The sequence below is a fragment of the Homo sapiens genome, chromosome 8 (genome assembly GCF_000001405.40).
Source record: "Homo sapiens chromosome 8, GRCh38.p14 Primary Assembly".
NCBI lineage: Eukaryota > Metazoa > Chordata > Mammalia > Primates > Hominidae > Homo > Homo sapiens.
Window position 1 is genome coordinate 125,459,175 of NC_000008.11, and position 24,093 is coordinate 125,483,267.

Below are 24,093 nucleotides of genomic sequence, written 5' to 3' on the forward strand. Positions count from 1 at the left end.
ACAGCATTTCACCATGTTGGCATGGTGGTCTATTTCACCAGGTGGTCTATTTCACCAGGCTGGTCTCGAACTCTTGACCTCAGGTGATCCCCTGCTTCGTCCTCCCAAAGTGCTGGGATTATAGGTGTGAGCCACTGTGCCCAGTCAGTTTCTACTTTTCATCTTGTACTCAATTACTCCTCCAACAAATGAGAGAGGAATTATTATTCTCATTTGTCAGGTAAGGAACTTTCAGCTCAGAGATGTTAAATTTCACAGGGTCCTTCAGCTTCTCAAGCATGGGGTTGGTATTCAAATTTAAGTCTTGGTGATACCTACACCCCAGATTTTTAAAAGAAAAATGATATCAAAAATAGCTAACACTTACGTAGCACTTCCTGTGTGCAAGTGCCTGATAGTGTGCTAAGAGCTACGCATGAATGAACGCATATAACCCTTATATCAAGCCAATGAGGTAGGTATATTTTTATCCTCCATTTTACAGATGAGGAAATTGAGACCAAATGCCAGCTCCCACATCACACAACTGGCATTTGAAGCCCAGAAGTCTGGCTCTGGAGTACATACTCTTAACCACTGCACTTAGCTGGTTCTCCCAGGCTCATGGGGGAGAAAGGTGAGCACTCAGATAACTCCACCCTCTGTGTGCTTTGCTTGGGTGATCTCACCAACACCATGGCTTCAACCATTACATATCAGTTTCCACATATTCAGCATGGATCTTCTTCTACTTCCTATTAAACTCTGTACCTGGGTATCTGGTGGCCATTACAAACAAGTGTCAGTCCTCAGTAGGTCACTGTCAGACTGCAATGCACAAACTACAAGGGATCCTCTTGCTGCAAATCTTCCTGTGTCTTCCCATCATCTTCCCTTAGCACAGTACCCCTGCTGTTGCTATTTCTCCAGCCTCAACTGGAAACCACCCAAATGTCCATCAACTGGTGATTGTATAAACCAACTGTGGTACATCCATACAATGGAATACTACTCAGCAATGAAAAGGAACACACTGATACATGCAACAGCATGGGTGAGTCTCAAGAGCATTGGACTAAATGAAAGAAACTAGAAAAAAAAGAGTATCTACTGTATGATTCCAGAAAGTTCTAGGAAAGGCAAAACCATAATGAAAGAGAACAGATCAGTGGTTTCCAGGGGTTGGGGGGTGGGTGGCAGGAATTGAGTGCAAAGATGCACAAAGGACATTTTGGGGGTGATGGAAATATTCTATACATGATTGTGGTGGTGGTGAACAGGTGTACACATTTGTCAAACTCATAAAATTTAAAATGTACACTTAAAACAGAGGCATTCTATTTATGTAAATGACACTTCAATAAAGCTGTTTTGTGTGTGTGTGTGTGTGTGTGTGTGTGTGTGTGTGATGGAGTCGCTCTCTGTTGCCCAGGTTGGGGTGCAGTGGCGCATTCTCGGCTCACTGCAACCTCCATCTCCTGGGTTCAAGAGATTCTCCTGCCTCAGCCTCCTGAGTAGCAGCGATTACAAGAGCCTGCCATGATGCCTGGCTAATTTTTTGTATTTTTGGTAGGGACGGGGGTTTCTTCATGTTGGCCAGGGTTGTCTTGAACTCTTGACTTCAGGTGATCCACCCGCCTCGGCCTCCCAAAGTGCTGGGATTACAGGCGTGAGCCACTGCGCCCGGCCCGATGAAGTTGATCTTTTGAAAAAGCCTCTGTTTGTGGGTTCTAGTCCTGGGGTGCCTTGCAGGCCACCGCACTCCCCACACTGTATTTCCACAGTCTGTTTTCTGGTTTGTGTCTGGCACTAGACCTCAAGCTTCTCCAGCCTCTTTTCCCGCTGTAATTGCCATCTCTTCCACCGTAGCACAGTGGCTGTACTCCCTGGATGCTCAGGGAGCGATGGGCTAAGAGTTATTAGTGACTTGTCAAAGTCATGTGGCCACTGTAAAAAGTCTTTCCTTGCCTTTAAGACAAATTTCAAGCCCCTAAATACTTGGGCTGGAATACTTCTGACCCGAATGCCATAGGCTGTATCCAACCGCAGTTCATCAGCTCTCTGGTCTGAAGAGAGACGCAGACAGAGGATTCGGAGGGCTCCCGACCACCGGTCGCTGTTCCTGGCAAGGACTCTGAGCAGAGGTTCTCCTGGTCACTGTTACCCCCATAGCCCTTTACTGGTTCAGCTGTGTATCATGCATCCTAGAAAGGAACACTAAGCCCCAGGAGGGAAGGGGCTGTGTTTGTCTTTCTTGTCAATGTTTCTCTAGTGCCTAGCACAGTGCTTGGCATGCAATAAAATTACGATATATATATATATATTTTAAAACAAATAGATTGTGAAGTTTGGACATCTGGAATAAACATGTTGTTTGTAGCTGAAAATATTGGAGTCATTTTTATTTATTTTTAAACATTTCTGTTTATTTTTTATTTCCTTTTTAGAGATGAGTCTCTCTGTGCTGCCCAGGCTGGACTCAAACTCCTGGACTCAAGTGATCCTCCTGACAGAGCCTCCTGAGTAGCTGGGACTGCAGGTGCCTGCCACCCGGTGTTTCTATTCTTTTTTTGTTTGTTTCTTTTGTTTGAGACGGAGTCTTGCTCTGTTGCTTAGGCTGGAGTGCAGTGGTGTGATCTTGGCCCATTACAACCTCCACCTCCTGGATTCAAGTGATTCTCCTGTCTCAGCCTTCCGAGTAGCTGGGATTATAGGAGCATGCCACCACACCTGGGTAATTTTTGTATTTTTTAGTGGAGACAGGGTTTTGCCATGTTGGCCAGGCTTGTCTCAAACCCCTGACTTCAGGTGATCCGCCCGCCTAGGCCTCCCAAATTGCTGGGATTACAGGCGTGAGCCACGGTGCCTGGTCTGTTTTTATTCTTGAAATGCTGAAATGTAGGGCAGCTCGGGCATAGATCATTTTCCCACCTGAACTCCAATAGTTTGGGACTTCAAATGGGGTCTGACACTTTGTGGGGGAAGAAACACAGGAGAGGTGAAATCTTTTATGTGTTAAACTCTTGATGACTGGGTACATTTTTGAGGGGGCAAGGGGGAAGAGTTTTTCAATATTTCGTTTGTTTGTTTTTTGAGACAGGGTCTGGCTCTGTTGCCTAGGCTGGAGTGCAGTGGCATGATCACAGCTCACTGCAGCCTCAACGACCTGGGCCCTAGCGATCCTCCCGTCTCAGCCTCCCTAGTAGCTGGGACTACAGGCATATGCCACCATGCCCTGCTAATGAATTTTTTCTTTTTCTTTTTTTTTGTTCGAGATGGGGTCTCACTATCTTGCCCCGGCTGGTCTCAAGAGCTCCTCCTGCCTCAGCCTCCCAAAGTGCTGGGATTACAGGCCCGAGCCACTGCACCCAGCCTGTTACTAACATTGAACGCTCTGCAGTACTTCATTTAGAAAAAAAAAACACAAAAATCTGATTTTTTTGAACAGATTTTAATTTACAAAAATTTCAAAGACAGCACAGAGGGTTCCCATATACTCTAGTTTCTCCCATTATTAACATCTTACGTTAGGATGGCACATTTGTCACAATTAATGAACCATTACTGATGCGTTATTATTAAGTAAAGTGCATAGTTTATTTAGATTTTCTTAGTTTTTATCTGAGGTCCTCTTTCTGTTCCAGGATTCCATCTAGAATCCCACATTACATTTAGTCACCGTGCCCCTTAGGGTCCCCTGGGCTGTGACAGTTTCTCAGACTTTCTTGTCTTTAATGACCTTGACAATTTGGAGGAATGCTTTGCTGAAATATTCTGTACAGTGTCTCTCAACTGGGATTTGTCTGATGTCTTTCTCACGATTAGACTGGAGGGCATAGGTTTTCGGGGGGGATGTCCCCAGAGGTCAAGAGCTGCACCTATTTTTCAGATCTAAATGCAGCTTATTAGTTTAGATGAAAATGTGTTGTGGTTGACGTTATATGCTTGCGAAATTGCCATGCTGATAAGGGATAGGCGGACTTAATCCCCAAACAGAAAACAAAATGAAACAAAATTACACAAATCCCCCACTTACCCCACCTCCCAAATGCTTTCCACCCTCGACTTCACTTTCCCCCCACAAAGCAACAATACTGCCATTTCTGGATATTGGTAGCTCTTTCTAAAGGGAATTGAACTGACTCAGAAGGAACCAGGAAGTAGTTGCATATTCAGCCCGCTCCGGATCAACCCCTATCTGTTTCTGTGCTTTCTTTCCAAACAAATCTTTTTAGAATCAGAAGGGAGGGAACTGATTCTGTTCTCAAGGATCTACCCGGCCGGGCGCGGTGGCTCACGCTTGTAATCCCAGCACTTTGGGAGGCCGAGGCGGGCGGATCACGAGGTCAGGAGATCGAGACCATCCTGGCTAACATAGTGAAATCCCATCTCTACTAAAAATACAAAAAAATTAGCCAGGCGTGGTGGCGGGCACCTGTAGTCCCAGCTACTCAGGAGGTTGAGTCAGGAGAATGGCATGAACCCAGGAGGCGGAGCTTGCAGTGAGCAGAGATCGCGCCACTGCACTCCAGCCTGGGCGATAGAGCAAGTCTCCGTCTCAAAAAAAAAAAAAAAAGAAAAAAGAAAAAAGAAAGGATCTACCCAACTAGGGAGCCTCTCCCTCTGTCCCTTTCTCCTTTACACATTTAGTCCCTGCTGTGTTCCAGGAGCCACCCTTGAGCTGAAAAGTTGACTGAAACAGGGCTCTTGTCTGGGATTTGGAAGGAGAGATACCCGATGTATGAGCACGGCCCCACATCATAGGTGTTGGAGAGGCGGATATGTACCTGGGATTGTGTGGCCCAATGAAGGGAAGATTATTCTTTTGGGTCTGCATGAAGCATGCCAGTCAAAGGGAATTGGGCAGGAAAGGATGCCAATCAAATGAGCAGATTAATGAGCAGGGTAGTCCCCCACCAGTCAGGGGACAATAAAAGCTAGATTTAACTTGGCCCATTCTTTCTCAGATACCATCGACCTTTGCGTGAATGTGAGGTGACTGTTCTCTTCCAAAGTCTGCCTTTGTGATGGCAACTGGTTTACTTTGTACCCAGACTCGCCTGAGGGAGGGAAGCCAGCTTATCCAGAGGCTGTGCTGCGGTGTACCAAGCCCTAATCCTTAAATCCTTGGCTCTCTTCCACATAGCACATGTCAAACCAATCCCTAGGAGTGGGCAGGACAGCACTTTGCAAAGCACTCTGAATCTTGAGCCAGAGGTTTGGGTTTGATTTAATATTAGTGAAAATTGCCTCTATTGGGGCATATACAAAACTCCTGCCTAAGTGCCTTATGTGTATCATCTCATCCAACCTTCCAGACTGCATACGATAATGATGACACTAATAAGAGTTACTAATTTTCTTTCTTTATTATTATTATTTTTTTGAGACAGAGTCTTGCTCTGTCACCCAGTTTGGAGTGCAGTGGTGCGTTCTTGGCTCACTGCAACCTCTGCCTCCCAGGTTCAAGTGATTCTTCTGCCTCAGCCTCCCGAGTAGCTGGAACCATGGGCATGTGCCACCACGCCCGGCTAATTTTTGTATTTTTAGTAGAAATGGGTTTCAACATGTTGGCCAGGCTGGTCTTGAACTCCTGACCTCAGGTGATCCACCCACCTCAGCCTCCCAAAGTGCTGGGATTACAGGTGTGAGCCACCGTGCCCAGCCAGAGTTACTAATTATTGAGCATTTGTTATGTGTCAGGGTTGTTTAAAGAGCTAGACATGGATTACCTCACTTAATTTCACAATAGCCCTGCAAGTGCAAAAATCTTAAGCACAGAGCTTAATCAGTTTTTACCTATGTGTCCCCATGCCCCCACCACCTGGGTTAAGCTATAGAAGTTTTCCCCAAGCCTTCCTCATGGCCGTTCTCGGTCATTACCACCACCCTCTCCTCAAGAAGGTAACCACTATTTTGATTTCCAGCATTGTCAATGAGTTTGGCTGACTTTCAAAATTAATAACTTAATTATTTTTAAAAATTAAGGTGAAATTCACATTATTTACAAAATTAGCCATTTTAAAGAAAATAATCCAGTGACATTGAACACATTCACGATATTGGGCAACCATCACCTCTCTGTGTCTCCAAAACATTTTCATCACCCCAAAAGGAAGCCCCATTCCCACTAAACAGTTGGCTTGTTTTCGAACATCAGATAAATGAATCATGCAGGATGTGCCTTTTTGGGTCCGACTTCTTTGTTTTTAACGTATGTCTGTGAGAGTAACGCATGTTGTGCGTGTGGTGGGTACAAATATTATCCTCATTTTATAGATGAGTAAACCAGGGCACAGAGTGGTTAAGTAACCAGCCCATGATCACTCAGCTGCTAAGTGGTTGACCTAGGATCCCTGGCAGGGTGGCCCTGGAGCCTTGTTCCGGAAGCATGTACCGTATTGCAGAGGAGGAAACAAACTCAGACAGTAAGGTAACAAACTGAGGGGAGCCAGTAAGGATTTCAATGCAGATTCTTCTGACTGCAAGACCAAACTGTTGACTGCTAGCCTGTTTTCCCCTTGACTAACTGTGTGTCTTGGGGCCTCTTTCTGGGCATCAGTTTCCCAGTCTCAGTAAAGCGTTCTGAATTTTCCTTGCTGGGGTGGTGAAAGGCTTGGTTGAGAGCCTGTGTGAACCTCACGGTGCCATATTAACAGTCGCGAGAATGTAATTGATTCTATGATGTTGTGGTTCACTGGAAACTTGGCAGGGGTGGAGTAGGACCCTGAAGAAAGCTGGCACTATGTCAAGTGGCCAACGGGAGCTCAGCCCTTCCTGTTCTCTCTGAGTATTTGTAGCTCTTTAGTATTTCCTGTGCTCAGCCCCATTCAGAGATCACCAAGTCAAACACCTAAAATCCAGGGTCCCTGTGTTTGAGGAAGTTTGCATTCTAAGATATTTCTTCCCAGGCTGGTACCCTAGAATGTCATCGTTCCATAGGCTGCCTTTGTCATCATTTATGAAATTTGTCAACTCTTGGTCCAGAGGTCTGATTAGGAGGAAAAGAAGAAAGTCATGTGAGGCCAGGTGCAGTGGCTCATGCCTGTAATCCTAGCACTTTGGGAGGCCAAGGCGGGCAGATCACCTGAGGTCAGGAGTTCAAGACCAACCTGGCCAACATAGTGAAACCCCATCTCTACTAAAAATACAAAAATTAGTGGAGCGTGGTGGCAGGTGCCTGTAATCCCAGCTACTTGGGAGACTGAGGCAGGAGAATCGCTGAAGCTGAGGTGTGGCAGCTTCAGCATTTGGCTCCATTATTCCCTCAGGCATGAAATCTTCCTCTCTAGCCTTGTTTAAATCTCAACACTTCCCTTTCCAAATGATTTCTAAGGGGAAACATAAAAAGAATGTTCCAGAATACTCTGTTGGCCCAGGGGTGATTTGCCAGAGCAGTTTCCTGGATTACGGCCTCTTCCCCCATCAGCAAATCATGTGAAACAAACTACTGTCAGCTGTAAACCCTGAATGTGGGAAAAAGAGCTGACACACAGGGCCCACTTTCGTAAAGCTGACATTTCTCATGAATAGCGAATTCCTGAGTGTGGGCAGTAGACCAAGGCCAGGAATTCTCATTAGCTGGTGATAATCAGGCATGACTTGGACTGTGGAAGGCAGCTGGGCGGAGAGGTCATAGGTATGGGCAGGGGTGAGCCACAGCTGATAGCTGGGCGCGATCTGCCTGGATTGTTACTGAAATACTAACATGCTCTTTATGGGTTAGTAACTCCCTTCACCTCCCCAACGGCTCCTACCCGCTGGGACCTTCACCTCCCCATGATCCAACAGTGAAAGATTTAATACCCACATGACAAGGGCCTTCCAGACATGGTCCAGCTGGGGTCTGATGCTGATTTGGATAGATCCATGGCAAACTGGTGAGTAAATATGTTAAATGCCTCTCCTGGCTGTGGGACGACAGTTCCCTCCTTGGGCCCCAGCCTCCTTCCTGCTTCTGAGACCACGGCCTCTGATCTCACCTCTTTAGAGCTGAAGGACATCTAGGACATGAGCTCAGCTGATTGTTTCCCATTCAGTGGCTCAATCCCACCCCTTTCACATTCAACCTCCCTGAAGTCAGCATTCACTGTTTTTTTGTTTGTTTGGCCTTTTTTTTTTTTAAATCCTTATCTCTGTAGCATTTCCTCACTTTCCTAAACAGAGTTAGTCACTTCCTTCTGTGTGTTCTCATAATACTTACAAGCCATATCTCTATGATCCAATTTTATGAACACTGTTATTTTCTTTTTCATACGTATGAAAGATTGTGAATATTTCTTTTCCTTTTTTTTGCTTTGGCTTCTGGGAAGCTCAGAGCCCAATTTGTAGTTTCCCTCAATTAAGCAATCGATGTAGGCTTTGTGAATTCACTTTGTCTCTGGCTTCATGTTAAGTTCAGCCTTTCTTTCCTCCATTTCTTTATTAATATATATTTGTATTATATTCATCTCTGTGATTCATCTCAAATGCTAAAATTATTTTTTGCATTGTCTTATTAATTAATTAATTTATTTATTTATTTGAGACGGAGTCTTGCTCTGTCGCCCAGGCTGGATTGCAGTGGCGCGATCTCGGCTCACTGCAACCTCCGCCTCCTGGGTTCAAGTGATTCCCCTGCCTCAGCCTTCCGAGCAGCTGGGACTACAGGCATGTGCCACCACGCCCAGCTAATTTTTTGTATTTTTTAGTAGAGACGGGGTTTCACCATGTTGGCCAGGATGATCTCCATCTCCTGACCTCATGATCCACCATTCTCGGCCTCCCAAAGTGTTGGGATTACAGGCGTGAGCCACTGCACCCGGCCCTTGCATCGTCTTCTTTAATGAAGTATAATTTTCAAAAATAAAATGCATCAATTTCACATATACAGTTTGATGTGTGTACCCATGTAACCACCACCATAATGCCATAGGATACATTTCTATCACTTCAAATTTCCCTTGTATCCTTTCTCAGTCAATTCACCACCCTACCCTGATCTCAGGTGCCACTAATCTGTTTTCGGCTACTACATATTAGATTTACCTGCTTCTACAGTTTCATAGAAATGGAAGCCTACGTATGTGATCTTTGGAGATGCATCCAAAGACATGGATGCATTATGCCAAGTGATATTTTTGAGATGCACCCATGTTTTTGTGTATACTAGCATCTTTTGAGATGCACTCATGTTTTTGTGTATATTCGCATCTTCTGAGATGCATCCATGTGTTTGTGTATACCAGCAAATGGTTCCTTTTTATTTCTGAGTAACATTCCACTGTATGGAGACATCACAATTTGCTTCTCCATTCACCTGCTGATGGACATGTGAATGATTTCCAGTTCTGGGCTGTTTTGAGTAAGTAAAATCAGGAGAGTGTAGCAGGTGTTGGGCAAACAACAAACATGTCTGCTAGTGTGAAATTCACCGGCAATGCCTTAGCATGGTGTCTAGCACACAGGGGTGCCTAAGAAATGGATAGTCGGGTTGATTTTAACAGCTCCCTGGGTCGGGGAGACAGGGTTGGACCTTGAATCACAGAAACATGAATTTCAGTCCCAGCTGTGCCATTTCCAGCTGTATGATCTTGAGTAAGCCACTGAACTTTTCTAAACCTCAGTTTCCCCCAATTCTGTAGAAGGGGACTAATTGTTCCCAAATGAACACAACTGTCAGTGAAAGCACTTTGCAAAGGATTAAGACAAATATTAGGCAAAACTACTGTGACCATGGAATTTCAAAAGACTAGAATTTCTCTTCAGATCTTGAATTCTCTGCTCTTCCTTACTGCTACCCTCAATGGCTGATGAGGACTCCCACATTTTAGGGAAGAATTGAGATCACGTCCAAGCTCCTACTTGGACTTCATCCTCACCTCCTTCTGAGCCTCCCATGGCCAAATGCAGTGATTCCCCAACTCCCCTGTACCCCGCCCTGCCCTTAGCACATTTCTAGACCCTGGAACTTTGGGTGAAATCCCATTTATCACACCGATCTCCCTTGGCCACCTCCTAGCACTGTGTCACAGTGTCAGCAGGGCTGTTCACTTCTCTGCCCTTGCTCTCTATCACTCATGAGTCAAAGTTCTCCGAGCACATTCCGTGTTGGTGGCCCCCTGTGAAGGGTTTCACCAAACACCACTGTGGGCTGGGCGCTGGCTTCCATCCACTGACCCAGTGCAGCTCCTGGCTTCTGACTTCTTTCTGTTCCTCTCTGGACTTATTTTCTCCCACTCCTTCCTGTGACTGTTTAATATACCAAGATGTTCCCTGTCTTGATGCTATCACTTGACTCCACTGGCTTTGGCTTTTTACTGTACTTCCTTTTTTTTCCCTTCATTTGTAATGCATTCATCCACCTGCATCAACGTGGCTTTGTTCTCCACCACTTCTCAGCAATAACTGACCTCCCAAAGGCCAAGCACCCCAGCATGGCTAGGTCTTCTCTTCCTGATGCTCCTCATGGCTTCCATATTTTCCCTGAGACTCCTTGGGGCCCCCAAGTCACCTCCCCTCCCTTCTCTTCCTCCAGCCATTTCTTTTCATCTTCTTTAGCTGTCACCTCATCTTCAATGCTGGGCTCTGTCACCCAGGCTGGAGTGCAGTGGCATGATCATGGCTCACTGCAGCCTTGACTTCCCGGGCTCAAGCGATTCTCCTACTTCAGCCTCCTGAGTAGCTGGGACCCCAAGCACACATCAACACACCTGGCTAATTTTTTATTTTTTGTAGAGATGGGGTTTCCCTATGTTGCTCAGGCTGATCTCAAATTCCTGGGTTCAAGCGATTCTCCTGCCTCAGTCTCCCGAGTAGCTGGGATTATAGGAGTGCACCACCACACCTGGCTAATTTTTGTATTTTTAGTAGAAATGGGGTTTCATCATGTTGGCCAGGCTGGTCTTGAACTCCTGACCTTAAGTGATCCACCTGCCTTGGCCCTCCAAAGTGCTGGGATTACAGGCATGAGCCACTGTGCCCAGCCCAATCACTTTCTTTTTCATTATACTGTGTATCTTTCTCTTTAAAAATCCAGATTCAAACAAATAGCCTTTTAAATTCAATTAGTCCAAACCTGGTGACCTTTTATGCCATCTTTTGGGACAGGGCCCTGATGGGAATACCTGCAGCATGGGCCCATAACAGCAGCCAGCATGAACGCTGTCTCAAATTAGACTGGGTCAGCAGTTGCAGGCTTGGATGTAAGCAGCCATATAATGTCATGCAATGTCAACCCTGAAATACCTTGGGCTGACTCCAGGGAGATCCAGGGCCAGCAGGACACTGAGAAAGCCATGGAAAATCTGCCATCGACTGTTGTTCCTTCCTGGTGAGCTGGGGCATGCATTAGTCTGGAAAGATCTAATTGGTTATAACTGCAGGGGAAGGAAGGAAGGAGTTAATTCCTGGCTGGGCCTGTTTGCAGGAAGCCATATGCTTTAGTTATTGAAGTCTGCTCAACGTGGGAGGGAATAAATTGGCCCTTCCAGGAGCCTGGTTAAGCAGCAGAAATAGTTTTCTCTTGGTCAAGCACGGGTTGGGGGGTGGGGTTGAAGGACCACCCGCGGATTTAAGATGTGGCCGGTGCCAGGACCATGGGTCTTGTCTGCCACATTCTCCTGCTAACTTGGTAACACTTTTTCCTCTGTTAGCACTGTAGCTTTGCTTAAGAAAGACACCATACTGGACACTTGACATTCAAAAGGAATTTGTCCTCAAATCTTAGTTCTCTCAATTTACAAGCATGCCTCCTGGTCTTCTCCCGAGTCACTCTTCTGCTGAGTCTTGTGTTCACAAAACTTCTGAACTGCTTTTTCAAATCACCCTAATTTTTTCTGTCTCATATGGTAACCACTGTCATAAACAAAGATTTTTTAAAAGCCACAACACACCAAATGAAAACCTAGCCCCTTGCCCCCAAAATAAATTCTGATGTTAAATTTAACCTTCTAAGATCATCCAGTTTCATCTTGCAAAGAATTTTCTGGATGAGGTATAAAACTATTTTAAATCATAAAAAACAAGTGATAGCACAGACCACAAAATAAAAAAATAGTGCACTCTACTTCATTGAAATGAAAACTTATACTCTTTGAAAAACACTATTAAGAAAATGAGTTGATAAGCTACAGACTGGGAGAAAATATTTGCCAGACAAACAATCCAATTAAAAATGGTCAAAAGATTTTTAATAAATACTTTACCAAAGAATATATATGAAGGGCCAATGAGTATGTGGAAAGAGGCTCAACATCATTAGTCATCAGAGAAATGTAAATTAAAACCACAATGAAATACCAATACATACCTACTAAAATGTCTAAAATGAAAGAGACTGGGCCAGGCATGGTGGTTCATGATTGTAATTACAGTGCTTTTGGAGGCTGAGGTGGGAGGATTGCTTGAGGTCAGGAATTTGAGACCAGCCTGGGCAACAGAGAAAGACCCTCGTCTTTACAAAACATTTAAAAAAAAAAAAAAATGAGCCAAGCGCAGTGCCACATGCCTGTAGCCCCAGCTTGAGCCCAGGAGTTCAAGGTTGCAGTGAGCCATGATCATGCCACTGCACTCCAGCCTGGGTGACAGAGCAAGACCCTGTCTCAATTAATAAAATAAAATAAAAAGACTGACAGTGCCAACTGATGATGAGGATTTGGTGCAAATGGAACTTTCACACACTGTTGGTGAGAATACAAAATGGAAAGCTACTTTTTAAAAAGATGCTAAAAATGTTTAGGCAACTGGACTTAGTTGAGATAATCCCAATTTGTTGGCAGTGTCCAAAGCTTTGTAGCCAGGGAGCAAATGCATGCCTTCGTTATGCCATTAGGCCTAATCAGAGTATGGGCTTTGGCCAGTCAAGGTCGTAGGGCTCCTTCGTAGCCTCTTTGATCTGGTGTTGTTGGCCTTGATGTCCATGATGAACACTAATGTGACCAGTATGTCCTTGCCATTGAGCTTCATGGCCAACTTCATGGTAATAACGGCTAAGCTTATTCCTCCTAGGGACCTCTGTGTGTCCATTTCTACATTTATAAAATGGAGTGTATTCGTTGGGGTAGGCTAACTACTGTAACAAATAGACCCGAAATGTGTCATGGTTAAAGACAGGTGTTACTGGGTCACATAACAGTCTAAGGTAGTTCTAATTTGGAGGTGGGGCAGAGCCTTACTGCTAACTTGGACAGCTCATCTTGGGACTGTTTTATCAGCGAAACCTCAATATTGTTTAAGCTATTGCATTTTAGGACCTCTTCGTCAGAGCAGCTGAGTCTTAACCTCACTAATGTGGTCAGACTCAACTGGTAAACATCTTGCCTCTCACACAGGCCGTATTGCTCCTGCAATTCTAATCCGAGCTTCAGCTAAATTCAAAATGGCTGTGTGTCAGGGGCCTTCAGGGTTGCTTATGAATAGTCAAAACTGCTGATTTGTGGAAAATACCAAAGGTCCCATCAATCAGTCATGGATCAGTCAGATAACATGCACATAAAGTGTTTATTTTCAGCATAAAAACAAGGAAAATGCAGCTTAGGAAAAGGAGGAGGGAAGGAAGGAACCACTTCTGCTGAGCACGTCCATGTAGAAGGTGCGGGGTTGGGCGTTTGCATGTGTTATCCCATGTTGACTATCAAGAGAGTCCTACTGCAGAATGGTTATCTTTATTTTATTACATTTATTTATTTATTTTTTTAGACAGGATCTCACTCCGTCACCCAGGCTGGAGTGCCGTGGCACTATCATGGCTCACTGCAGCCTCTACCTCCACCGGCTCAGGTGATCCTCCCACCTGAGCCTCCTGAGTCACTAAGACTACAGGCACACACTACCAAGCCCGGCTAATTTTTGTATTTTTTTGTGAAGACGGGGTTTCGCTCTGTTGCCCAGACTGGTCTCAAACTCCTGGGTTCAAGTGATTTACCGACCTTGGCCTCCCAAAATGTTGGGATTACAGGCATGAGCCACCACTCCTAGCCAGGACTGTTATTTTTACATTGCAGATGAAGAAATTTTGGTCAGAGAGATGAAGTAGCTCTGCCAGTACACAGCATGGAATTGAAAGCAATGGGCCTGGCACTGACTGAGAGGTACTCACAGCTTGGGGCAGACTCCCATTTGGAGATGGGATCCTGAAGAAGCCTGGATGTTTGTGATGGCGGTCAACAGAGCTTCCAGAATGGTAAATCTGATCTTTTGTTTACAACCTTTCAAGAGGCCCTCATTGCCTTCCAGGTAAAACATCCAACCCTCAGTAGCTAGCCATCAAGTCCTTAGTCACCTGACCCACCATCATCTGTTTCATTTGTGTCACATCCCCCTTTTATAGGCTACGGTCTCTTTTTCTCTTGGCTGTTGCCCTTGCTGTCCCCTCTTCTTAAACACTCCCTCTGTCACCCCTTTGCTGACTCATCCTCATGCTTCAAGATGCAGACATCACCTCCTCCAGGAAGTCTTCTCTCCTGATGAATCCTCTGCTCCCACTCATTTCCACGCTCTCCAATCTGCACTTCCCTCCCTCAGAGCAGTTGATTAACAGTGTAACTCTATTATATAACCTGCTTAAATTCCTCCATCAGTAAAATGGCTATGATAATAATCGTACTTATAACGCAGCAGTGCAGCAAAGTGGAAAGAGACCATCCTCGCAGAGCCCTTTGCATGGGGCCTTGCTCAGAGTAAGCACTCAATGCATGTTAGCCAGTTAGCACTCTTTAAGTAATTCTCTGTTGAAGCCTCTGCCTCTTGCCAAAGATGCCATGCAGCACTGTATCTCCAGCACCTAGCCCAGTGCTGAGACACAGAGATGTTCAATAAAGGTGCAGGAACCAAAGCTTAGGCACATCTCTACCTATGTTTTTTTTTTTCTCTCCCCTCAGCAAACGAAAAGGAAGGGTTAGGTAGACCAATTATGTGAATAACTTAATTGGCGTTGTGTTTCACTAGCAACTGTGGTTTGAAGATGTGCAGTGACCTGCCCAGTACCACACAGATGGTATTAGGCAGAACAAGGACTTTCGTCCTCTTCATACCTAGGCTATCTCCTGCACAGCTACTTGATGGACTAAGGGAAGGGGACTTCTAAATTTTGAGGTGGGAGAAAGAGAGGAGAAAGAAGGTACCAAGAGTGAACCCCTATCTTTTTCTTTTTCTATTTTTTTTTTTTTGTGTGTGTGACAGTCTCGCTCTGATGCCCAGGCTGGAGTGCAGTGGCACAATCTCCGCTCACTGCAACCTCTGCCTCCCAGGTTCAAGCGATTCTCCTGCCTCAGCCTCCTGAGTAGCTGGGATTACAGGCACCTGCCACCATGCCTGGCTAATTTTTGTATTTTCAGTAGAGATGGGGTTTCACCATGTTGGCCAGACTGATCTTGACCTCAGGTGATCCACCTGCCTCAGCCTCCCAAAGTGCTGGAATTACAGGCATGCACCACTGCGCCCGGCCAAACCCCTGTCTTTATTTGGTTCTCTACAGCTGGTGTCTGAGACTTGGCTCTCTAAAGAGATGGTGAACTCTCAGAGAACAACTTCATGTACTAACAAGAGCAATACTAGCTCACTACGCTCCAGCCCCTGAGCTGGGCTGAACTCTTCGTGGTATCATTGTGTTTATGTGCACAGAAATCCTTATAGGTGGGAACTATGTTAATCTCCATTTTATGGATGAGGAAACTGAGATTAAGTAATTACCAAGGTTACCCTTAGTAAGTAGCAGGCCTGGAATTCAAACACAGGCCACAGGACACTAAAGCCCATGCATTAACCTCTGGGCAGTGCTGTCTTCCGTCTTTCCAATTCAAGTCACGTCAATTACTTGGCACAACTTTCCTTGGCACCTTCTGGTATAGGCATTATGCTAATACAGAGACACAGTGATTCCCAGAGGAAGAAATCAAGGAAGCCTACATACATACTGATTAGTCATTGCCAACATGAGTTTATGGAGTATTGACTTGTCCTAGGTGCAATCCTAGAAACCACACAGGTATTACATTTATTTAATTCTCACAGCAAACCTTTGTAATAGGTATTAGGGTTCCCCCCATTTTACAGATTGGGAAACTGAGGCTAATAGCATGCACAAGGGCACAGAATTCTTAAGTAGTAATGTCTGGATTTGAACAGAGTCATGATGCCGTGGTGCTTTGCAGGGTGGAGTAAGGCCAGAGGTCAGCATTTGGAATGGCCTTGGAGGGGGAAAAGGCCAGGGGGAGCTGGGTGCAGCCAGGAGAGGCAACTAAGGAGAGGGTACCCTGCACACCGTTACTGACTGGCAACGCTTACTGACTTGAATCCATGTGGCAATCCACGACCTGTGTCTGATATCATCTCTGGGAACGGGCTTGGAACACCCATGAGAAACAGAGCGCAATGGTTGAGCAATGCAGCCTCAACTCTTAGGAAATGGAAAATTCTGAAAAGGAAGGTTCTAGGAACTTGGAGAGGCACAGCCACAGGTCTGAGAGTCGCTTCCATTTCCTCGCTCACCCCTGAATCTGCCCTGCCGGTTCCTCCACTCTGAGCCTTTGCTGTTGCCTAGGGCTGTAAAATGCAGCCCCTTCCCTGCAGTCCTCCTCCGATCCCTGTTTGCCCATCAGGTTCCCTCACTGTCTGTGACAGCCCTGTCCCTCCCAACCAGTGCAGAACTGGCTGTGGACACGATTTCCAGCATCACTCTTTTTTGTTTTGTTTTTCACTTATGTGATTAAAAAAAATTTCAACTCTAATTTTGGATTCAGGAGGTACATGCGCAGGTTTGTTACTTGGATATATTGTGTGATGCTGAAGTTTGGGGTATGAATGATCCCATCACTCACCTAGTGAGCATAGTACCCAATAGGTAGTTTTGCAACCCTTGCCCTCCTTCCATCCTCCCCCTACTAGTAATCCCTGGTCTCTATTGTTGCCATCTTTATGTCCATGGGTACCCAATATTTGACTTCTACTTTATAAGTGAAAACATTTGATATTTTGTTTTCTGTTCCTGTATTAATTTGCTTAGGATAATGGCCTCCAGCTGCATCTATGTTGCTGCACAGGATATGATTTTGTTCCTTTTTATGGCTGTGTAGTATTTCCTGGTGTTTCTATACCATATTTTCTTTATTCAATCCACCGTTGATGGGCACCAGTTGGTTCCGTGTCTTTGCTATTGCGAATAGTCCTGCACTACTCTTGCAGGGCCAGCAGAGCCTGGGTTACATCTGGGCTCAGCGGACAGACCAACCTGGATTGAATCTGGCAGAGTAACTAAGACAGGGACCTAGAGAGCTCTAGATTTCACCAGGATCAGAGGCTCAAAGAGGTAAAACAAATCTCCCAGGCCACACAGATTGTTATTATTAGAGCATTCTTGTCCTGGTTCTGCTTGACCAATCCGAGCCTTTAAAATGGGGCTAGTGATACTTGTGTGAAATAGATGAGATAATGCTTACTAAAGGGTGTGGAACAGGGCACTCAGTCAGCGACATTAGCCCTGCTCCCCACCCACCCCATGTATCTCTTCAGATGTATGTGTCTTTTTTCTACAATGAAATCATAGGAAATTGAAGGTCAGAGAGTCTTCTTTAGCATATTTCAGTAACCCTTTGTGGGGCCTTGCCTATTGAAAAAAGGGCTGAAAAGATGTTGGTTAACAAAACAGCCTTCCAAAAAATGTTCAGAACCCAAAGCAAGGTCTACAGTCCCTGGGGCTGCCATGTCAAAATGATGTCCTTGTGGCCGTAGGGGTCGGGTTTCTGGAAAAACCTGTCCTGGAGACAGAGCCCAGCCCAGGGGAGTAGGGTGCTAGGCAGCTGTCCCGGAGGGAGACCCCATTTTTCTCTGCTCAGCTGGTTGGAAGGGAGCTGAATAGTCATTTAGGTGCTCGTTGCGACAGGCTGGGGTTGAGATAGGCAGCCTCAGACGGCCTGGATATTAATGTGGCTAATTATGTGGATTGCTTCACCAGGAGATGGGAGATAGAACTCCCCAGGAGTCCCAGTGGGAAGGCCCTGTGGGGCCCAGCCCTTGGTGTGCTCATTGCTGCTCTGTCTGGGAAAGCTGAGGTGCCCTGGCCAGTTCCTGAAGTGGCTGGTCCCTCCCAGCTGCTCCAAGTGACAGTCTGCATCTCTAGGATGATCTTGGTGTGGCTACAGAGGGAGAGATGGGGCCTCTGGGAGGAGAAAGCCAGGGCCAGGTAGAGTGGTGCTGACAGATGGCTTGATAATGATCAAAAGGTGCACCTCCCAGGCAAGGAGGAAAATGCCGCCCCCTGGAAATAGAGAAAAGAAAACTGCTGAGGATGTGTCTTTGTCAGGTACTATATTTGATCCAGAGAGGGAGAGTCTGGCTTTACCTTCTCTTCTGGCTCTGCAGGAAATAAAGGTTTGGGTTCTATTTCCTGTTCCCTATGGTTGGAATTGAACACACCTATAAAGTCCTATCAGGATTAGAGTCTGTCTATCTATCTATCTATCTATCTATCTATCTATCTATCTATCTATCAATAATCTATTTTCTTTGAGATGGAGTCTGGCTCTTGTTGCTCAGGCTGGAGTGGCATGATCTTGGCTCACTGCAACCTCCGTCTCCTGGGTTCAAGTGATTCTCCTGTCTCAGACTCCCGAGTAGCTGGGATTACAGGCACCTGCCACCACACCCGGCTAATTTTTTTTTTTTTTTTGTATTTTTAGTAGAGACAGGGTTTTGCCATGTTGGCCAGGCTGGTCTCAAACTCCTGACCTCATGAGCTGCCCGCCTTAGCCTCCCAAAATGCTGGAATTACAGGAATGAGCCACTGTGCCTGGCCTATTTTCATCTATCATCTATCTATCTATCTACATAGATATATATGTATATCTATGTATATAGATAGATTCTATATCTATATAGATATAGATAGATTCTATATCTATATAGATATAGATAGATTCTATATCTATATAGATATAGATAGATTCTATATCTATATAGATATAGATAGATTCTATATCTATATAGATATAGATAGATTCTATATCTATATAGATATAGATAGATTCTATATCTATATAGATATAGATAGATTCTATATCTATATAGATATAGATAGATTCTACATCTATATCTATCTACATATATATACATATATATATATATATATATATTTTTTTTTTTTGAGACGGAGTCTTGCTCTGTTGCCTAGGCCGGAGTGCTGTGGTGCAATCTCAGCTCACTGCAACCTTCACCTCCCAGGTTCAAGTGATTCTCCTGCCTCGGCCTCCCAAGTAGCTGGGATTACAGGCACCCACCACCACACCCAGCTAATTTTTGTATTTTTTTAGTAGAGATGGGGTTTCACCAAGTTGGCCAGGCTGGTCTTGAACTCCTGACCTCAGGCCTGCCTTGGCCTCCAAAAGTGCTGGGATTACAGACATGAGCCACTGCACCCTGCTGTCATCTATATTTCTATTTTCTTTCTTTTGATCAATTGAGCAATCTATCTATCATGCACCTACCTATCTACCTAACTTTCATCTATCAACATACTATCTCATGTTGGGACTTAAAAAAAAAAAGAAGAAAACCAAATATCCGTGCCATTTACAAAGCTGCTGATGGTATTTTACAGTGGATCAGCAACTACAAATTAGCAGAACAAATCTGGTTTATTTTTTGTATCTCTCCCCTCATGACACAAAGCTCGTTGCGTCTTCCATTCAAAGATGGTGGATTTGAGATTTGAGTAAACTCGGCTCAAAAGCAAGTCATCATGCCTAGTCAGTTAAGCAGAAACGAGGCCAAACTTTGGGAAGCGCCTCCAAGCCCGCTCTCACGAAACCAAGTGCTGTATCTGCTAACTGCTTTTTAGTTTGTTCCCTGGCTTTTTGGAAGCATCTTTGACTTCAGAAAACACTTGCTGTGTTTACACCTGTTAAAAAATTTTTTACAAGTTTTGAGAAAGCACTGTGTTGGCTGAAATTGTCATTTCTTTGGTGGTGTTTCAGGGGGATGAGGATGAGGGATGCACAAACCAAAATGAACTTGGCTTTCTCCTTTTAGAGCTGGAGAGCCTATTGCTTTTTGAGGATAAGACACTACAAGCTCCTTTATCATGCTAGACTGGAAAGTGTTTCTCCTTCCTTTGTAAGTTTCTTCCTCTCTCCAGCTGTTAGATGAGGCAAAACGTGAAGCTTTAAGCATGATGATTCTCAGTCTCCAGGAGATGCTAAATAAATGCTACCTTCCTTCTTGTCTCTCTTTTGTTGCCTGATCTCTCCTCATCATCACGACAGCATATCTCCCCACTGATCGACTGTAAGATGCCGTATTGATTTATTAACAGCTGTTATTTATTTTTGGCAAGGTTGGTGTGTGTGGTGGGGACAAATATTGATTGTACGTGGTACCCTGATTTCAGCAATGTTAGAGTTCAGAAACAAATCACATATCTTAGAATCGAAGGGACTCAGTAGCATTTTCAAGTGGACTCAGAAGCAATGTTGTTCAGAAAAAAGAGGCACAGGTCAGGGTCTTGGTAGCACTTGGTTTGTCTGTTGTCTGGGGATGTTTTTCTCCCGTGGCTTCTAGGACACAATTCTCTTTTTCTCTTACCTTGTTACTGATGTGTTTTTTCTCCATCACCTTTGCTGGATCCTCCTCCCCTTTCTGCCTTCATGTGGAAGTGCCCCAGGGCTCACTCCTGAGCCCTTTTCTTCTGTGTTTGCATAATGTCCTCCGATGATCCAATCCTGTTTCTTGGTTTTAAATATCATCTATACACGGGATGACTCCCAACACTTTTGTCTTGATAGCTTCACTTGGACATCTTAGACACTCCTCAAGCATAACATAATCGGAACTTTGGGTCTTCCTCTACTAACCTGCTTCCTTCTCTGTGTTCCCTTTTTCAGTTAACGGCACCCAGGGGCTCAAGCCCCAAACCAAAGAGCTGTCCTGGACTTACCTCTCTCACATCCATCATTTGAACCACGAGCAAATTCTATCGATTTCACTTTCAGAATATAGCCCCCCACCTCTCTCTGTCTCTGTCTCTGTCTCTCTTTATGTATATGTGTGTGTGTGTATATATATATATAAAACTAAAGCTCAGTGCCACTCACAAAGCTGCAGATGGGATTTTACAGTGCCAGCCTAGCCCCAGATGTCTTTAACTTCCATCTAGACTGCTACGGTGCCTTCTAATGGGGATCCCAACTCCCATCCTCACCCCCTAGAAGCCACACAGCAGGCAAAGCAATCTTTAAAGACAAATCAGATCATGTCACTCCTGATTCCAAGTCCTGCCTGGAAAGATTGGTGGACTGGTCTATGGAGAGGACAAAAGTATTATTTCATAAATGTTTACAATGTTTTATACTTTATATATTTTTAAGGCAAACTTAGTTATTTTGTGTTAATTTTTATTGATGAATATCGGATTATGTAAACCAAAGATTCCCGGATGCCTGGTATGACGCCTGGCACAATAGCAGGTGTGCAATCAAAGTTTTTTTTTTTTTTTTTTTAGACAGAGTCTTGCTATGCTGCCCAGGCTAGAATGCAGAGGCACTATCTCAACTCACTGCAACCATGCCTCTCAGGTTCCAGTGATTCTCCTGCCTCAGCTTCCCAAGTAGCTGGGACTACAGGCATGCACCACCACACCTGGCTGATTTTTGTATTTTTAGTAGAGATGGGGTTTACCATGTTGGCCAAGCTGGTCTCAAACTCCTGAGCTCAGGCAATTCGTCACCTCAGCCTCCCAAACTTCTGCAATTACAGATGTGAGCCACCACGCCCAGCCAATAAATGGTTGTTGAAAGGATGAACAAGCAATCCTGACTCAGATTCTAATTTGTCATGTGACCTGGAAGTGTCTCTTTTTTTCTCTGGGCCTGAGTTTTCTCCTTTGGTAAAGTGATTGCTGTGATCCATGATGCAGCCTGATATTTTCTTTCTCTTCTCTTTCATGTAAGAAATGGCTACTCATAAATGACCAAAATGATTTCATGATTTGCTGATGTGTGTAGATCCAGTGGAAAACGTTGTCTGGCCATGTCAGAGCTGCCAGGCTCTGCAGATTGCTGAGAGCAGGCCGCGTGTTCTGCAGATCGGAGAAGCACTACCATGCAATGGCTCTGGAGCCAGAACCTGGCGCTTCTTTGCAGTGTGATTGCAGGCGAGTCAGCCAGCCTCTCTGAGCCCTGGTTTTCTCTGAGCCCTGGTTTTCTCATCTATAACCTGGGGAGTCTAACATTTTTCTTTGACAGCCAGGGTTCCAGCTGACCTAGTATGATGCCCAGATCAACAGCTAACCTTCATTGTGTGTTTACTGTGTGGGCTTACTGTGCCGTGTGCTTTACAGAATTGGTTCAGTGGTTCTCAGCCCTGGTTGCATATTTGAATCATATAGGTAAAAAATGTGAATGTCCAGGCTCCACTTGATATAGGTGAAGTCAAAATTTGTGGGGTCAAAGCTTGAACATTGGATTTAAAAGCTCCCCAGGTGATTCAAATGTGCAGTCAATGCTGAGAATCATTGTATTAAGTCAATCAATTATTTATTTATTTATTTATTTTTGAGATGGTATCTGGCTCTTGTTGCCCAGGCTGGAGTGCAGTGGCATGATCTCGGCTCACTGCAACCTCTGCCTCCCGGGGTTCAAGTGATTCTCCTGCCTCAGCCTCCCGAGTAGCTGGGATTACAGGCATGCGCCACCACGCCTGGCTAATTTTTGTGTTTTTAGTAGAGACGGGGTTTCACCATGTTGTCCAGGCTGGTCTCAAACTCCTGACCTCAAGTGATCCACCCACCTCGGACCCCCAAAGTGCTGGGATTACAGGCATGAGCTACCACACCCGGCCAAGTGAATTCATTCTTAACCCTATGTAGTAGGTACTAATGGTATGTACACCTGTGTTTTAGTTAAGTAAATCAAGGCACAGAGAGTTAATTTGCCTTGGCAGGCATTCAAACTCTAGCAATCTGTCTTGACAGCTTCACTTGGACATCTTAGAGAGTCCTCAAACATAACAAATTCAGAATCAAACTTCGGGTTTTTTTTTTAAGAAATAAATGTTTTATTCTTCCAACTAAATTTCAGTACTACAAGGGCAGTAAAACAGTGATACACTAGAAAAAAATGCAGCAATAAACATTTGTTTAAATGGCTGATAGAATAAATAAAACTACCAAAAAAAATCCTATAAACTCATTCAGAAATCCCAAGAAGTCCTGGAATACAGAAATGCCCTCCTCCATGACTATTTCACAGGATGCACTGCAGGCTATTTGCTCAATATTGTCCTGGGATTACTTTCTTTTTTGAGATGGAGTTTTGCTTTTGTTGCCCAGGCTGGAGTGCAATGGTGTGATCCTGGGATTACTTTCTAAAATTAATAACTGCTTACAGCTTGGTTGTAGCCCACAATTAAAATCACATTAACTTCATCTGAAGTTAGTTTGGGAAGACGTATTAGAATGAGCATTCTGCTGGTAAGGATGCCGTAGAGCTTGAAAGATTTGGAGGCTGGCCTGAGGTCACTCAGTAAGGTTTTGGCAGAGCTGTGGGGCTAGAACTCAGGAACCTTGGTCCTTGTTTAGGCAAATTGCCACTGCAGTGGGCTACCCTATTTGGTCAAGTATAACATACCATCAGTTGTGAGATGCTGCTGTGGGAGGGATGTGACATCTGTGAAGAATGTATGGCCCATTCTGCTCCACTCTGGACTTCCTTGGGCTGGGAGGATGGGGGCTGGTGCTGGGGAGATGGGGACCCACATCAGGGAGGCAGGTTGAAGAGAAGCAGGCCCCTCTGGGACCCACATTTCTTCCTGCTGCCTTCGTCACCAGGCTGAGGTTGTGTTGGCTTTGGCATGGTGCTTTCCCTCTATTCCACTATTAGAATTAATTATTATTATTATTATTATTTTGTAGAGGCAGGGTCTCACTATGTTGCCCAGGCTGGTTGCAAACTTCTGGGCTCAAGCAATCCTTCCGTCTTGGCCTCCCCAAATGCTGGGATTACTGGTTTGAGCCACCGAGCCTGGCCTTTATTAGAATTTTAAGCAGCTAGGCGCAGTGGCTCACGCCTGTAATCCCAGCACTTTGGGAGGATGAGGCCGGCAGATTTACCTGAGTTCAGGAGTTCAAGACCAACCTGGCCAACGTGG

At 44.9% G+C, this 24,093-nt stretch overlaps 1 long non-coding RNA gene across 1 annotated transcript in view; it reads left to right on the plus strand.

Moving 5' to 3' along the window:
* The first annotated feature begins 7,630 nt into the window (after positions 1-7,630).
* TRIB1AL (TRIB1 associated lncRNA) overlaps positions 7,631-24,093 on the plus strand; it is a 76,581-nt gene continuing 60,118 nt past the window's right edge. Inside the window, exons 1-2 of the long non-coding RNA NR_186610.1 lie at positions 7,631-7,859; positions 13,962-14,140. This is a non-coding gene — a long non-coding RNA (TRIB1 associated lncRNA). The remainder of the gene's footprint in view (positions 7,860-13,961; positions 14,141-24,093) is intronic.